The sequence below is a fragment of the Homo sapiens genome, chromosome 8 (assembly GCF_000001405.40).
Source record: "Homo sapiens chromosome 8, GRCh38.p14 Primary Assembly".
NCBI lineage: Eukaryota > Metazoa > Chordata > Mammalia > Primates > Hominidae > Homo > Homo sapiens.
Genome location: NC_000008.11, coordinates 98,561,897 through 98,580,632, shown reverse-complemented (window position 1 = coordinate 98,580,632; position 18,736 = coordinate 98,561,897). Strand labels below are relative to the sequence as shown.

General features: G+C 35.6%; 1 protein-coding gene across 17 annotated transcripts in view; it reads left to right on the top strand.

Annotated features, from left to right (window-relative positions):
• STK3 (serine/threonine kinase 3) overlaps window positions 1-18,736 on the top strand; it is a 598,636-nt gene that overhangs the window by 361,978 nt on the left and 217,922 nt on the right. For 15 of the 17 annotated variants that reach the window (XR_007060753.1, XR_007060752.1, XM_047422133.1 and 12 more), the window contains one exon: window positions 844-969. The exons of 1 other annotated variant lie outside the window; for it this stretch is intronic. Coding sequence is in view for 13 of the 16 variants with exons in the window: in XM_047422133.1 (XP_047278089.1) it covers window positions 844-969 (126 nt within the window). In the remaining 3 variants the exon portion in view is untranslated. Of the gene's footprint in view, window positions 1-843; window positions 970-18,736 lie in introns of those variants that run through there. One more of the 17 variants, XR_007060754.1, reaches the window with a different exon arrangement.

Genomic DNA, 18,736 nt, shown 5'->3' with positions numbered 1-18,736 from the left:
TCAAACAAACAAATAAACAAATAACTCACTCACTCAGTCAGGTCACTTTTACCTGATGCTATCTACTGACATGTAACTATGAAAATTACTGAAACTGATTGCTGCCCCAAATTTAGGTTATCTATCCAAAATTATAACCTTTCACTCTACTTTCTCTCATGTCCCTCCTTCTCAATAAAAAGAAATTCAAAACCTAGGTCTATTCTGATAGTTTTCCTTCTCTTTGTCAGAATGATAGAGAGCTTAGCTATTTTAGCTAGATCAGGGTGATATTTTTTAAAAAGTGACAAGTTATTTTATATATAGTAAAGAAATTAGGCAACATTCATTTTCTGAAAAAATATTTTTGTCTTGGTTAAATTACTTAAGATACAATAAAATAGAAAATATGTTAAAGAAGTAACAAAATAGTTGCTCTCCTTTTGGCCACTGATTTTGGCTGTCAACTTATTAAGATTAATTAAATTACGTAACTCAGTACCAAAATAAGTTTATTTCTATGTGTAATATAATCTGTAATCCTATTTTTAACTTAATCTTTTTTACTCCTAATGTACACTTCCTTTGGACAATTAGATCTTTAAGGATATTATAGTTTTATTAACAGGGTTGCATTTTTGCATGTGTGCTTTAAGTTTTTTTTTTAAACAAGCCCCAAAGCAAATTCTTTATTTCTAGGCAGTGGCCATACTCTCTTTTCTTAACCTATACATTTAATTCTAGATGAAAAAACAATCATTGAAGCCTGTGATCCTGGTTAACATTTACATGTTGTTTTAACATTTGTTAGCTATAATTCGGAAAAATCTTTTGAATTTATACCATTGAATTTTACTTTTTTAGCATCCTTTTATCAAGAATGCCAAACCTGTATCAATATTAAGAGACCTGATCACAGAAGCTATGGAGATCAAAGCTAAAAGACATGAGGAACAGCAACGAGAATTGGAAGAGGAAGAAGAAAATTCGGTTTGTAATTATCTTCAAAAAGTTGATTTTTTTCTTCTGAGTTATTTGTCTGTAATTCTGTTAAAATATATTAAAAGCACTTACTGTTTTACTATACAAGTAAGATATGTTTTTTCATTGAATCTCAAAATATATTTGGTTTGCCTTATATGTTTGCTATCTTTTTCTGATGTCTTAAGAATTAGTGATTAGTGGAATGTAATGTTGATAGGATGAACTTCCACAGTACCTAGTATCTAGTTGATACTAACTCTGGGTTTGTTAAATAAATATTGTCTTGAATTTATACAGTTTTGTGTCATATCTTCTGGAATTTTCTTTTAACTGGTCACCAGCTATGCTGTAGATAAAACGTACCATAGCAGGAGTTGCAGGTGGGACATAAAAAGGCCTAGCATATTAAACTAGCTATTAATTCCTTTTACTTTATATTGATGTTACTACATTTAAATAACGAAATAAAATAATTGTATTTATTTACCACATTTTGTAGTGTCTAATACTTTTTTTTTTGAAACAGAGTCTCACTGTGTTACCTGGGCGGGAGTACAGTGGCACGATCTTGGCTCACTGCAACCTCCACCTCCCGGGTTCAAGCGATTCTCCTGCCTCAGCCTCATGAGTATCTGGGACTACAGGCGCACACTACCATGCCTGGCTAATTTTTGTATTTTTAATAGAGATGGGGTTTCACCATTTTGGCCAGGCTGGTCTCAAACTCCTGACCTCAAGTAATCTACCCACCTCAACTTCCCATAATGCTGGGATTACAGGTGTGAGCCACTGCACCTGGTTTGTAGTGTCTAGTGCTTCTATACCTTGCTAATTATTTTTTGCCTTTGTGTTTCAAGTTATATATTTTTTTCTGGATAAAGATATAGAGGAGAATAACCCTTGGTATTCAAATAGTCATAAAATCTGAAAACACATGTATTATTTTATGTTTTACTGATTGAAAATGTATTTCGTAACAGTATGTTCTCCCATAAAAGTTCATTTTAAAAATCTTACAGTTTCTGTATACAAATGGAATTATTTTGCTAAATTAAATTCAGTTTTAATTTCAGAGACTGGTTATCCAGTTGGGAATTCTTTTGAAATTCTTTTACTCTTTTTACCAATTATAAAACCTTTTATCACATGGTAGCCCAGGACAAGGAGAAATGTGCATCTTTGTAGAGCTGATTTATAATCATGTTCTTTAGATATGCAGCTACATGAGTTATTTATTTGGCCGTTGTCATGGACTACCTAGTGAGGAGATACTTGAAGCCTGTATTCTAGACTTAAAATCTTTCACCAATGAATTCATTACTTAGAATTTTAAATAGTGTCTTCAAAAGGTATTTTTTTCAGGTTTGTCATTGTGCATTAATTCTACAAAGATGAGTAGGTGATATGGGAGATGTAAAGACCCTTGGTTCTTGCTCTCAGGGGGTTTCATATTTCCTACCCTGGATTCCTGTGTGATGATAGATACATTTAGTTTCAGATTTCTCTCCAGTTAATGTTTCTAAATGTTAAATTTTTGTAGTTGTTTCTTGTGGTTTCAAAGGCACTTTATCATATATTATCAGTTTTTACTACTTTTTAAGACTTTGTTATAGTAATTTTGGTTTCTTTCTGCCCCTTTGGGGGTCTCTTTCTTCACTATTTTTCTTTCCTTCGCTGAGCTTAAGTCACACTAGTCTTTCAGATTTTTAATTTTTTTTTTAACATGCTTAAGATCTTTCCTTACTCAGGGCCTTTGCATGTGCTATACCCGGTACTTGAAACACTCTTTTTCTTAGAACTCTTGGAGTGGCTAGGTTCTTTTCTTTTGAGTCTCAGCTTTAAATATCATGTACCCCCAAAACATAGCACCTTAAAACAACACACATTTATTATCATGGTATTTGTAGATTGCTATTTCAGGAGGGTCTTAGTTACGTGATTCATTCTCAGGGTTTCTTATGAGATTGCAATCTAAGTGTTCATCAGAGCTGCAGTCATCTGAAGGCTTGACAAGGGCTGGAGGATTCACTTCCAGGATGGCTCATTCAGGGGCTCTCAGAGTGAGTGGTCCAAGAGAGAGAACAAAGAGGACCTCTCACTGTCTTTTATGTTGTAGTCTCAGGAGTTAAATACTGTCACTTCTGCCACATTCTATTTATTTATTTTTATTTTATTTTGTTTTTGAGACCGAGTCTCGTTCTGTTGCCCAGGCTGGATTGCAGTGGCATGATCTTGGCTTACTGCAACCTCCATCTCCTGGGTTCAAGCAATTCTCCTGCCTCAGCCTCCTGAGTAGCTGGGACTGCAGACTCATGCCACTATACCCGGCTAATTTTTGTATTTTTAGTAGAGACCAGGTTTCATCATATTGGTCAGGCTAGTCTTGAACTCCTGACTTTGGGTGTTCCACCCACCTCGGCCTCCCAAAGTGCTGGGATTACAGGCATGAGCCACTGCGCCCGGCCCAGTTTTTAAAAGCAAGTGAGTGGTGGAGCAAGGAGCTCTAAGAATCAGTTACCTCCACAGAAGCAACTATGTTAAACTGGAAAAAACTGACAAATCAACTTTTGCATAACTCTGGAATCTGATAGAAAACTTAACAGCATCCAGGGGAGTGCCAGATTTTGATAAGAAAGCATTATGACATTTTTGCTTATATACCTAATATCCTTTATTTTCTAGCTCAGCAGCAGCTATGGGGCCAGCAACCCATATTCCCGGTGTAGCTCACTGGTGCCAGGACGGGGACAATAAGATCCTTGTTCTGAAAAAAAATTGTAGTTTTCATTTTGACCTGTCTGGTGGTTCCCTGAGGGACTGGTGCAGATACCTTTGTTTCAGCCCCCCATGAGCTAGAGCAACTTCCTGTTTGTTATCTGTCAACCATCTAAATCTGCTAGAGCTAGTAAATAAATTTGGCAAAGTTTCAGGGTACAGCATCAACCACAAAACTCAGTTGTATTTCTAGGCACCAGCAATGAAAAATGTAAAAAGGAAATTAAGCAAACAATGCCATTTATAATAGCATCCAAAAGAATGAAATACCTAAAATATAAATTTAACCGTGGAGTTAAAAAACTTGTACAGTGAAAAGTACAAAACATTGCTAAAAGACCTAAATCAATAGAAAGACATCTTGTGTTCAGAGATTAGAAGACATTATATTGTGAAGATGGCAGTACTCCTCAAATCAATTCACAGATTTTAAAGATCTATTTCCAAATTTCAGGTCATTTTTTGCAGAAGAGGAAAAGTCAGTTCTCAAATTCATATGTAATTGCAGGGGGCCCCAAATAGCCAAAACATATCAAAAAAGAAGAACCATGTTAGAAGACTCACACTTCTGTTTTCAAAACTTAATATGAAACTGCAGTGATCAAATCAGTGTAGTACTAGCATAAGGATAGGTATGTAGACCAAGGGAATAGAATAGAAAGTCTGGAAATAAACCCATAAATCTATGGCCAACTGATTTTTAACAGAGTTGCTAAGACCATTTAATGGGAAAAGAACAATCTCTTCAACAAATGGTACTGGGATAGCTGGATAGCCACATGTAAAAGAATGAAGTTAGACCCCTATGTTTTATCAAATACAGCAGCCTTTTAGTATAAGATCTGATTGGCTGGATCAACACCCTACATGTAAGAGCTAAAACTTTAAAACTCTTATAAAAAAACATAGGGTTATTCTTCATGACTTTGGATTTGTCAGTGAATTCTTAGAGAATGATACTAAAGCAGAAATAACAAAAAAGATAAACTGAACTTCATCAAAATTAAACATTTTTGTGCATAAGAGAATAAATTATCAAGAAGTGAAAAGACAGCCTGTAGAATGAGAGAAAATATTTACAAATTATGCTTCTGATAAGGGTCTAGTATCCAAAATGTATAGAAGCTGGGTGCGGTGGCTCATGCCTGTAATACCAGCACTTTGGGAGGCTGAGACGGGTGGATCGCCCGAGCCCAGGAATTCAAGACTAGCCTGGGCAACATAATGAGACCCCATCTGTTTAAAAGAAAAAAAAAAAAGCAAACTGTATAGAGAACTCTTACAACTTACAATTGAATTATAGGCAAATTGTTGTTGGTTACCAGAGACCAGGACAGGGCCCAGTTGTGGTGTGCAGGGTGTGGGAAAGAAGGAAGGATGGAGAGCAACTCCTTAATGGGTACAGTGTTTTCTTTTGAGGTGATGAAAATGCTGTGATACTAGATAGAGGAGATGGTTGCACATTGTGAATGTACTAAGTGCCACTGATTTGTATACTTTAAAATGGTTAATTTTTTGTATATGAAGTTCACCTCAATTAAAAAAAAAAAAACAAGTCACTAGGTCTGGCCTGCACTCAAGGCAATAGGAATGAGGCTCCACCTTTTGAGGGGAGAATTGCCAAAGAATTTATGGTTATGTTTTAAAACTGGCTCAGACTATCCTCTGGCCGCACCTTATTTACATTCCTTGCCCATGCAAAATACACGCACTATCCCATCTACCCCAAGTATTATTTCTTTACAATATCAGCTCAAAATCTAGAATGTCATCTTCTAAATTACATTCAGATAGAGATAATGTTCCTTGGGTCCAGTTCCTTTCAATCTGAAGACCTATAAACAAAAGAGATGTTTCTTACCTCACCCCCACCACCCCGAATAGCCAATGTACAATGGTGGGTCAGGCATAAAATTATATCATTATGGGTAGTTCTGTTTAAAAAAAAAGGAAGACAGGAAGTGCACGAGTCACTATTCCATAGCAGTTTTGGAATCCAGCCAAGCAAATGTTAGAAGTTTCTTCATTAAAACTAAGTTCTATTCCTACCTCAGGATAGTTTTTCATGGCTCCTTTCTGTGTTCTCTGAGTTTTTTGCTCTGCCCACTGAGTTCTTCCTTTTTCATGGAAGGTAGCCTGTGTGTTGAGCTAGATAGTTTTCTCAGCCTGCTTCCTGTGGTTAGAAATTTTGGAGTCCAAAGCCCTCTTTTCATTTCGTGCATCTCTGTGCTATGCAGTCAATGCTGGTAGTGTTTCTGCCAAAAACACTTTGTGGGTCTCCTATAAATCTCATTGCAGCTTACTCCATTAGAATAATCTATACTCATACATTTTGTTGAGATAATTGTTTCCCTGATTTTGGCCTCTTGATGAGATTGTGCAGGGACAATGCCTTTAAGCTTCTTAGAAGCCCTGTTGAGGAACTGCATGGATCTGTCAGAAATCTGAACAAAGGATTTTACAGTCACCTTTTCAGCTTGATATTTAGACCATAATTTCCTGACTATTGCCTGGATTTGAGGTTTGCTTGCAAGCTGTCTCATAACTGTAGCATGGTTTGCTGTCTATAGAGGCTGGAGATTTACAAAATCGACAAGTCTCAGTCCCTCTTTTGTTTAATTGTCGTTTCTTAAGCTTATCTCTCTCCTTTTGTGTTTGATTATAAGCAGCAAGAAGAAACCAGGCAACATCTTACATGCTTTGCTAGACCACCCAGTTCATTAGGTACATTTTTTACTTTTCCTGTTACTTTTCTGGTTCCTATAGCCAACAGTTGATATGGTTTGGCTGTGGCCCTACCCAAATTTCATCTTTAATTATAGTTCCCATAATCCCCATGTGTCATGGTAGGGACCTGGTAGGAGGTAATTGAATCATGGGGGCAGTTACTCACATGCTGTTCTCATGATAATGAGTGAGTTATCATGAGGTCTGATGGTTTTATAAGGGGCTTTTCCCTCTTTGCTCGGCGCTTCTCTCTCCTGCTGCCCTTTGAAGAGTTGCCTTGTGCCGTGATTATAATTTTCCTGAAGCCTCCTCAGGCTTCATGTGAAACTGTGAGTCAATTAAGTCTCCTTTCTTTATAAATTAACCAGTCTCAGGTATTTATAGCAGCGTGAGAATGGACTAATACAGTAAATTGGTACCAAGTAGTGGAGTGCTGCTGTAAAGGACTTGCCTTGTCTCAGATGAGACTTTGGACTTGTACTTTTGAGTTAATGCTGGAATGAGCTAAGACTTTGGGGGACTGTTGGAAAGGCATGATTGTGTTTTGAAATGTGAGGACATGAGATTTGGGAGGGGGCAGGGGCAGAATGATATGGTTTGGCTGTGTTGCCACCCACATCTCCTCTTGAATTGTAGTTCCCTTATTCCTCACGCGTCATGGGAGGGACCTGGTGGGAGGTAACTGAATCAGGGAACAACCACCCCGTTCTTGTGATAGTGAATGAGTTCTCAGGAGATCTGATGGTTTTATAAGGGGCTTTCCCCACTTTGCTCAGCAGTTCTCTCTCCTGCTGCCCTGTGAAGAGGTGCTTTCTGCCATGATTGTAAATTTTCTGAGGCCTCCCCAGCCATGTGGAACTGTGAATCAATTAAACCTCTTTTCTTTATAAATTACCCAGGTATTCCTTCATAGCAGTGTGAGAATGGACTAATACAACAGTTTCTAAATTTTCTGCCACCACATAAGAATCTCCTTTTCTCCAGCTTTCTAATATTTCCCTTACCTTCCTGAAACTTTCTTAAAGGCTGTCAGGCTTCTGACAGTTTTTTAATGACTCTTCAGGCTCTTACTAAAACTGTCTTCAAAGTGCTTCTAGCTTCTGCCCACTGCTTAGTTTCAAATCCAATGATACCAAGTCGTTTTAGGTATATGTTACTTGGTCCTGTCCATATTCAAGGTGAGGGGAAATATTATGAGCACTTAAAAATTATGTCAGGTTTTTATGATTTTTTTTTCCTGAATAAACATTTATTCTCTGGGGCAAAGCTTAGTGTTTCTGGGTAAAACTCTTATAGTCTTTTTTACTGAAATTATAAGAAAAAAGTAAAAAGTTTGGAGAGTCACACATTGAGCAATATTCACATGCTTTCTTCAGATTATTTTTTCAGGCAGTAGCTTCCATTTTGAGGTTATTTTATCTGTTGTTGCCCTGCATAGAAAATATACAATATGTACACACATACACTCTCACAAGCACTTAAAAGAACGAGATAGGCAGAATGAATCTGAAGTCTTTCTACAGTAAATGTATATCCTACATTGCCATTTATTTTTAGCAACTTTTAAAATTAGTAGATGTAATTTCTCAGGAAAGTTTATCCACATTGAAGGCTCAGAATCTTAAATAGTTTATATCATTTATTCCTTTGGGATTCTTTTGTGAATTGGCTTAAATTGAATTACATATACAGTTTTAAATCAGCTAATTTATCATAGACTACACATCTCTTGATGTTCAGTAGGACAATTTATTTCATTGAAGTGATACTCTTTTTCATAAAAGTAAAATATTTTTTATAAAATTTACATTCATTTTTGACTAAATGAACACAAAGTTTAATCTAGGTTGTGTATATAAAAAGCAGGCATACAGGATTTGTGCAGTTAGTACTAGTTTAACTCTAGTATTCAAAATGTAAGCATGCAGTTTGGTAATTTGGTAGTTACACAACAAGCAGTATTCATTCTTATGTATTTCTTGAACTTAGTTGATGATTTTTAAAATACTAATTTGTAAGTTTGCTGGTATGGCTTATTGAATATTGTACAGGTACTTGAATGAGTTTTTAAATATTTATACAGTAAAAGAGTACTTGTTTTTAAGTAAAACAGCAAAGCAAATATTCTACATGTGGTACATTGGATGATGATTTTCAAAGCAGAATGATGTTAATTGAATTTATAAGATAAGGCATAGAATGTAGCATTGACATGCTATTTTTAAAGCACTTTAAAAGACTGATAAGGAGTTTAGAAGAATTGCTTGTCACTGGAGCTCAGACGTTTCTTAAGGATCACAATGTTAAGTAAAATACAAGGAGTTAAATGGATGTAGAAGAATTTTAAGTGAAATGTTGAGCAAAAAATGGGATACTTTTTGATGTTAAGCTTGAATGAAATCTTTTCACTTTTATGCATGTATCAGGTCCTTTACTTTTATCTGAAGAAAGGTGTTATTTGACTTCATATTAACTTATTAATGACTCAAAGAAAAGAAGTCTAATTGGTCTTAGACTATGTCTTAGAGCTTCTATCCTTGGAAAAGAAATGAGGACTTTCTGGTGACCTCTTATGGTCTGAACTCAGAGCTGTTCAGGTTGCGGTCCTTAATGTCTGAATAATGTCATGTTCTCTTTAAACATGCTTCACTAAAGCAATTAATTCTCAGCATGGGTGTGGGGAGAAATGCCAGGGTGCTTTGAATAACCCATTCCCCTCAGGTGGTGATACAGTTTCAGGTGAGCATTTCTTAGACAGAAACTTCCCCCGCCTTCCCCTCTTTCCCCTTACCCCTGTTCAATAGGGACCTTCAAAAGTCTACCTTCTTTTTTTCTTTGAGATGGAGTCTCACTCTCTCGCCCAGGCTGGAGTGCAGTGGCGTGATCCCCGGCTTACTGCAACCTCTGCCTCCTGGGTTCAAGCGATTCTCCTGCCTCAGCCTCCCAGGTAGCTAGGGTTACAGGCGTGTGCCACCATGCCCAGCTAATTTTTGTATTTTTAGTAGAGACAAGGTTTAGCCATGTTGGCCAGGCTGGTCTTGAACTCCTGACCTCAAGTGATCCACCCGCCTTGGCCTCTCAAAGTGCTGGGATTACAGGCCTGAGCCACTGTTTCTGGCCAAAAGTCTACCTTTTGAGAACCTTTTGAATTAGGTAAAGAAAAGAACAGCAGGAGAATTAGCCCAAGTCAGTCCAGAAGCCTGTAATGTACTTACTTGGTAAAAGGGAGGTTGCATTATCTAAAAATAGATCATACTATCTGGATGTGAATTCTAGTTCTGTTCCCAAATAACTTTATGTCTTTGGGCAGGTTACTTAACCTCTCTACTTCAGTTTTACCATCTGCAAATAGAGTTGTTATGAGGATATAATTACATATATACACACCTAGAACAATGTTTTGCACATAGTATGCTCAATAAAGTTTAGCTTTTGTTTTTATTAATGCCACTACTTATACCATCACTACTGCTGTTGTAACATTTTGGCCAGGTTTTTTGTTTTTGTTATTGTTCTGTTTGTTTAGTTTTCGGGTTTTTTTTGCTGGTTGCCCTTACTGGTTTTGCCCTACCTTGTGGCCACCAAAATAACATTACTGATCTGGTGTGAACTGATATAGATTCAATTTTTTAAAAAACATTTTAAAACAAATTTTAACTGGTCAAATATGTTTGGAAGAGTTGGTAGATATTAAATCTAGTTTTAAAATTAAAAATAAATATATTTGGGCCAGGCACGGTGGCTCACGCCTGTAATCCCAGCACTTTGGGAGGCCAAGACAGGCTGATTGCTTGAGCCCAGGTGTTCAAGACCAGCCTGGGCAACATAGTGAAACCCTGTCTCTACAAAAAAAAAAATTAAAAAACACAAAATTAGCTAGGCTTGGTGATGCATGCCTGTAGTCCCAGCTATTTGGGAGCCTGAGGTGGGAGGATGGTTTGAGCCTGGGCAGTTGAGGCTGCAGTGAGCCATGATCATGCCACTGCACCCCAGCCTGGGTGACAAAGTGAGACTCTCTTTATCTCTCTCTCTCTCTGTCTAAAAAGAAAAAACATATATATATTTATATATTTATTATATATTTATATTTTTACAATATATATTTTTATATTCTTTAATATTTTTATTTTTATTAATATGTAATATGTATTTGTTCTTTACTGGTTTTCCTAAATATAAGTATAGATATGTATATTTGTATACATATATTTGAAAATGTGTATAAATATACATACACACACACACACACACACATATTTTTTTTTTTTGAGGAAAACCAGTAAAGAACATTTACTTATTCTCATTCCTTTACATGGTAAAAAGTAAATTTTATTTAATAAGAAATATTTCAGATAAAATTATTTACCACAAATTGAAAACTTGTAAAAGAATTGATTACTTGTTATGTCTAATTTTTCCTATGTAATCACAATTAAAACAAATTCTTATATAGTTATAACTGTGTAAATACTGTTCACTTATATCATATTATCATTACATGTTATTTCTTTTTGTGATTTTCAGAACCAATAATTGTCTCCGTTTTTGTTACTGTTGTTGTTTTTACAGTTTTCTAATCACTAGTTTGTTCCCAAATGCTATATTCCCAAACTCTCTGCTGGATCTCTGAGCTCCTCTGTGTATGTTCAAACACAATTTATTAATGCCGTACTTTTTTTTTTTTATTGATTCATCCCTTCAATAGTCTTCTGTCCTTTACTAATCGGAACTAATTCCTCTTTAGGAGTGTTGAGCAGCTGTCATCCTAAGACTTCCTTTCAACATCAACCTGTGGAATGTCCTCTTTTTTTTCTTCTGTAATCTCTTTATCCCTGATGCTGTCTTCTGTCTTTCTTGTTTTACTTCCTTATTTTTATGTATCATATCTCCCAGTAGCTTCCTGACAGCAGCAGTTTTTTTCAGTCATTGCATATCTGACCGTGTCTTTATTGTACATTTACCCTTAATTGATTGATTGATTGATTGGGTGTAAAATTTTGGATTGAAAATAACTTTCTTTTATAATTTTGAAGACCTTGCTCTTTTTCCTTGCTCAGCAATAATGCTGATGAGAAGATAGATGCCATTCAGATACCTGATTCTTTGAATGTTTGAATGTGGGAGTTTTTGGATCTTTGCATTGTCCCTGTTATTTAAAACTTTCCTAATAATGTGCCTTGGTATACATCTTTTCCCCATTCATCGTATGGAGTGTCTTTTGACTTTTTAAATCTGGAAACACCCTTCAGTTCTATGTGATTTCATGTTTGCTATTTCTTGGTAATTTTCACTGTCTCTCCTCTCTGTCTCTGGATCTCCTTTTATTTGGTTGTTGAACCTTTTAGGTTAGTCTTTCAATTATCTTTTCTGTTTCCTTTTCCCTCTTTTTCTCTTTTTATTCTTCTGAGATTGCCTCAAGTTTATCTTCCAAACTTGCTATTTTTTCATATCAGATATTTAATGTCTAAGATAGCTTTCTCTTCTACGTTATTATTTCATTATTATTATTTTGAGTTATCTTTTGCTCCCTGCCTTGTGTCTGTTCTTTTGTGTTTGTTTTGATCTCTGACATTTCACTTTATGGGCTTTCTTCAAATGTACGGGGATTATATTTGAGAGAAGCACTAAAATTACCTCTGGCAGCTCTGTGTGTAAGAGTGGAACTAGTTGACCAGCAAATTTTGCTGTAAAAGATGTTAGGGTTCACTACTCTGAATTCACATGCTTCTTGTGACTTTTCTCTTTGCAAGCTTAAGTCTTATTTTTGGTCTGCTGAGTTAGCTGCTTACATATTTATCTGTTTTCTAACTTCCAAACATTTTTCTAGCTTCCACATTTTTGACATCTCCCATATACTGTTATCTATTCAATTCCTGTGCTGTTTGTCTTTTGGGGTTTATCCTTTTCTGTGGCTTTATTGTAGTTTTGAGAGGGTTTTGAGAGGGATAGGTGTAAACCTGTGTGTTCTAATCTCCATTTTGATGGGAGCTCCTGCCATTTGTAATTTCTTGGACTGTTCTAAAATTATAATTTTTATTTTATTTTTTAAATCAGTCTATCTATCTATCTATCTATCTATCTATCTATCTATCTATCTATCTATCATCTATCTAAGACAGTCTCACTCTGCTGCTCAGGCTGGAGTGCAGTGGTGTGATCTCAGCTCACTGCAACCTCCACCTCCTGGGTTCAAGCAGTTTTCCTGCCTCAGTCTCCCGAGTAGCTGGGATTATAGGCGCCTGCCACCATGCCTGGGTAATTTTTGTACTCTTAGTAGTGACAGAGTTTCACCATGTTGGCCAGACAGGTCTTGAACTCCTGACCTCAAGTGATTTGCCCGTCTCGGCCTCCCAAAGTGCTGGGATTACAGGTGTGAGCCACTGTGCCTGGCCTAAAATTATAATTTTTGATATTGAGTTTGTAATATGATCTCTTTATAAATCTATAAAACCCTCCGTATATTTCAGTGATTAACAAACTCCTTGAGTGCCCATAAATTAGAACAATTCAAAGAAAAAATCATAGTTTGTTCAATTCTGATTTGTTTTAGACAAGTTGTCAAAGTGACAAGCAGGGAAGGGAAAACTTCTGTAAGGTAGCATTACAAGGAATCAGGACAATTAAAGCAAATCATATCCAAATTTATAGTTGATTAGAATAGAAGTAAATGGTCCAGGCACGGTGGCTCATGCCTGTAATCCTAGCACTTTCAGAGGCCAAGGCAGGTGGATAGCTTAAGCTCAGGAGTTCAAGACCAGCCTGAGCAACATGGCAAAACCCCATCTCTACCAAAAATTCAAAAATTAGCCAGGCATGGTGGTGCTCACCTGTAGTCCCAGCTACTCAGGAGGCTGAGGTGGAAGGATTGCTTGAGCCCAGGAGGCTAAGGTTGCATTGAGTCGACTTTGCGCCACTGCAGAGCTAGACCCTGTCTCAACAACACAACAAAAAGAATAGACATAAATGATATTTTTCTTTTTCTTAACCACTGTGTCTTTTACAATAATTTTGTCTAGGTTATGGAACGAAAGTACAAGCTTGGACCCCTTGTTATCTAATTGATACTGTGCTTGACTTAACATGTGTATCTGTTAAGTCAAGGTTGTTGCATTGCAACCTCTTGTTTGTGTTCACAGCTTAGCTTGGTTACCTTTGGCCCATGAAACTTTCTGGTTCTTTTCTTTTTTTCTTTTGCTTTAGTTTGAGGGATTCATTTGGCCATTACCTACTTAGTTTTGGTACTGGGGAACTGACTTTCTTTTAGGATATGGCGGAAAGTTTTAGATGGATATTTTGGTGTCCCAGTTGTTTTCAGTGAAATTTTTCTCCATTCTTTTTTCTCCTTTTTGATTATTTCATGGATGAAAGGTCTTTTCAGCATGGTGAGAGATCTGTATTGCCAACTTTTGCTTCTGATTTATTTTCAGCCCAGAGGACCTGTATTCTCTGGCAGCTTTTACTGTAGCTGTTTCCAGTCCAGACTCTGGATTGGTCCTTAAGCAGTGGTGGAGCAAATAATGACACAGAGCAAGTTTAGCATTGGACCATTGAAAAATTTCATAAAACTAACTTTTTAGATAATGTAGATCAAATTTTTTCTCTGATTTCAGAATTTCAGAACTGAAATTCGCTGCTACATTAAGGGAGAGATTTATATTTCACATCAAGTATTGATACTTGGGTCTATTGTGTGTGGATCCTGCATTCTTAACATAATTTTCAGAAAATGTATGGGTTATAACAATATAAAGAAAAATTTCCAAATTTAATTTACTTCTATCTAGTTTGGCTTATTGCAGTTGGGGAAAAATTAGGGGCCTAAAATTAAATTGCCATTTTCATCAATTTATAATGTGGCTTTTAAAAAGGAAATGGTATATGATAACCATTACAAGATATGTTGGTTTTTAAAATTTTAGTGCATACACCTGTGCCCTGGGTAACTATTATAAACAAATCTTTTAAAATATTTTTTATTCAAGAAAAGTATGGAGCATGATTGGAAATAGTGCCTTATGAATTTGATTTTTATACCTATTATAGAAAAAGCTTGTCTGATGAGAATGTATCTTGACAAATTGACATGTTTTGATAGGTGCTGAGGTAATTGTACAGATTTCTAAAATTAAACAAATTGCAAACAGAGATTTCTGTAGAAGGTTAATCCAATATCAAAGTTTTTGTGTTAGTTTAAGTGTTGTTAAATATGACAAAGATCTTCTTTTGGCATTTCTGAGTATGTGATGTAAATTAGGTGTTGAGATGGGTCAACTGTATTACATAGTAAGAATTCGTTTTCTGGATATTAGTGGAAGATATTCCCAAATCTTTAGCATGAGTTGATTAAATAATATATCTGTTTGTTCATATTTACTGTAAACACTTGAATTGCTTATGGCAAGTCCACCTTTAAAGAGTATGTATTAACAAAATTGGTCTTTCTATGCAATAAAGCTTCAAAATGCAACATTTTGTTGTTACCAAGGAGCATTCTACGGTAGTGTTGTGTATGATATAAAGCAAATTTATGGGAATTGTCTCTGCCATATGAAAGTTTAAAATATATTATTGAATAAATGATGCTATTTTGAAAATAGAATGTACTTAAGTGCATTTTTTAAAAGCATATACATATTGAAATTTGTAAAATATTTTAAAAATACTCTGAAAAGAAACTGCAAAAAGTTTTTGGTGAAGTAATGGAATACAGAGTTCTTGTCAATATAAAAATTGTAGACATTAATCACTTAGAGTTTATATGCTTTATTACCTCTAATAGAAACATGATTCTTTGGGATTTGTGATACTCGATATAGTATGTAAAATATTTAATAAATTGCTATATCATTTGAGCTTTCTCTTTGTGGTAGTGGTGGCTTTTGGAAAAAGCAAACAAAAAACAATGCTTGATTTTTATTCTGGGAAATTTCTCATTTAATTTTTGTAGGCTAGGGCCTAGGCATCAGGATTTTTTTAAAAACCTTCCTAACAGATTCCAATGTGTGGCCTGGGTGAGAACCACTGACTTATGGGTTGTAGTGTTGGGCCTTGTGATAAAACAGATAATAAATATTTGCTCAAATTAAAAAGCAAAGGATTTTCTCAATTTTTTAAGTTAACTTTTTATTTTTGAATAGTTTTAGGTTTATAGAAGAAATAGAAAAATAGTTTAGAGAGTTTCCATATACCACCCACATTCAGTCTTCCCTGTTATTAATATCTTATATTCGTATGATACATTTGTCTAAATAATGAACCAATATTAATACAGATTTGAAACTAAAGTGCCTATTCTTTTCAGATTTACTTAGTTTTTACCTAATGTTCTTTTTGTGTTTTAGGACCCATCAAGTTACCATATTACATTTAGTCATCATGTCTCCTTAGGCTTCTCTTTTTTAAAAAAAATTGATATATAACGATTATACATATTTACAGGGTAAAGTGTGATATTTTGATACATGTATACATTGTGTAAAAATCAAATCAGAATATTTAGCATTTCCATCACCTCATGCATTTATCATTTCTTTGTGGTAAGAACATTCAAAATCTTCTGCCATTTTGAAATATACAGTATTGTTGACCACAGTCACTGTACTATGCAACAGAACACCAGAACTTATTCCTCCTAACTGTAATTTTGTATTTATTGACCAATCTCTCCCTACCACCCCTAGCCTCTACAAGCCTCCCCTACCTCTGGAAACCACCATTTCTACTCTCTACTTCCATGAGATCAGCTTCTTTAGTCTTTCTGTGCTTGGCTAATTTCACATGGTATGTATATACCATAAAAATGAATGAAATTTTGTCATTTGTGGCAAGCACGTATTTACCTGGAGGACGTTAAATGATATAAGCCAGGCACAGAAAGGGTTCATGATGTCGCAGCCTCTCGGAATGTCCTTGTTTTTGGTGACCTTGAGAGTTTTGGGTAATAATGGTTAGACATTTTGTAGAATGTCCTTCAATTGGGATTTTTTTTTCTAATGATGAGACGAGGCTTATTGGTTTTTGAAAAGACCCAGAGATAAATATAAGTCTCATCACATCAAGAGTAAATTATTCTGTCAACATGACTTACCACTGTTGATGTTAACCAGGATCACATGACTGAGGTAGCATGTCATGTTTCTTTACAGTAAAATTATTCTTTCTTTCTTTTCATACTGTACTCTTTGGAAGGAAGTCACAGTACACAGCTCACATTTAAGAAGTGGGGGGTTATTCTCCACTTTCTTGAGGATGGAGTATTTAGAATTTTTTCTACACAGGAGATTTGTCTCTTCTCCCCATTTATTCAGTCATTCGCATCAATATTGACTCATGGTTATTAGTTTATATTTTGGATTATAATCCAATACTACTATGTTTATTTATTTATTTATTTTGCTTAAATTGTTCCAGCTTTGGCCATTGGGAACCTTTTGTTTTGACTCCTTTGTCCCTATGACATATCCCCATCATTGTGCGGTTTTGTTTTGTTTTTAGCTCTTCCTTACTCTCTGACACTATAAGATATTCTAGGCTCATCTTGTATATTTCCTGTTCCAGTACTAGAATAAGGAGCCTACTTCCTTTTACTGGAAAACTGTAGGAAATCAAGTTTGGATTCCAGGGGGACTTTTTTGTACTGTGGGATGTTGTTGCTTCTGTGCCCTCTCAGCTTATGAGGCAAGGAGATATATGTGTGTATACTAGCCTATGTATATACACATTTATAACTATATATGTAGGCACGTGTGTGTGTGTATATATATGTATGTGTATACATCTGTATCTGTATTAAACTAAACATTAATTTATACTGTTGTGTCTGACTCTAATCCATTATTATTCTAGATGGGTCCTCTTGCTTGTTTATAACCTACAACTCCAATGGTGAGAAACCTGGCTCCTATCATTCATTTACTAAGTTTCTCAACTCCAGTATACATGTATAGTGGTTTCAGAATTCTTAACCCATGTGGAAAACATGGAAAACAACATTATCAGTTACACTGCTTATGTATCATTTCTTTTGTCTTTAGTCTAACAGAATTCACAGTTCACTTACTCCAAAGTTACTTAGGTTAGTACCTTTTCTTCTCACCTCCTTCAGTGAATTTGTTTCAATATATTTTTAATACAGTTACTTTTTTTTTTTTTGCCACATTCTACATTTCACCCTGGGATCCCCTGACCTCCTAAATTTTTTTTTTTAATTTTGCATACATTGGGTTCACTCTTTTTGTTATTGTTGTTGTTGTTGCTTTTGAGACTGGGTCTCTCTCTTTCACCCAAGCTACAGTTCAGTGGCACAAACATAGCTCACTGTCTTGAACTTTTGGGCTGAAGCGATCCTCCTGCCTCAACCTCCCAAGTAGCTGGGACTACAGGCATGCACCACCAGGCCTGACTTTTTTTTTTTTTTTTTTTTTTTTTTTTCATTTTTTGTGGAGATGGGAGTCTTACTATATTGCTCAGGCTGGTCTAGAACTCCTGGTCTCGAGGGATCCTCCTGCCTCAGTAGGTTCACTCTTTATGATGTAAAGTTTTGACAAACGCATGGTATTAGGCATCAAAACGATACACATGATACACTGTACTGTCAAACAGAACAGTTTCATCACCCTTAAAAAAAATCCATTGTGCTTCACATAATCAACTCTCCCCCAACCCCCTTTCAACCGCTGATCTGTTTACCATTTATAGTTTTGGCTTTTCCAGAATATCATATAATTGGAATCATATATTATGTAGCCTTTTCAGACTGGCTTTTTTCATTTAACACTACGTTTTTTGTAACAGTCATCCATGGTTTTTTTTGTGGCTTAATAGCCCATTTTATCACTGAATAGTATTACATTGCAGAGATACATGACAGTTCATTTATCCATTAACTTATTGAAGGCCATCTTCAATAGTTACTTATTAGTTTGGGGCAGTTATCAATAAATAAAGCTGCTGTATACATTCATATGCTGGCTTTTGTATGGATATAAGTTTTCAGGTACATTGAGTAAGTATCTAGGATCATAGTTGCTGGATCTTATGGTATGTTCAGCTTAGTAAGAAACTGCCAAACTCTTTTCCAAAGTTGTATCATTTTATATTCCTACTAACCAAGGAATGAGAGTTTCTGTTGCTGCGCACCAGTAGTTTGTATGGTCAGGGTTTTTGTTTGTTTGTTTTTGCATTTTAACCATTCTAAAAGGTGTTTAGTGGTATCTCGTTTTAATTTGCAATTCCTTAGTGATGAAGATGTCGGGCATCTTTTTATATGCTT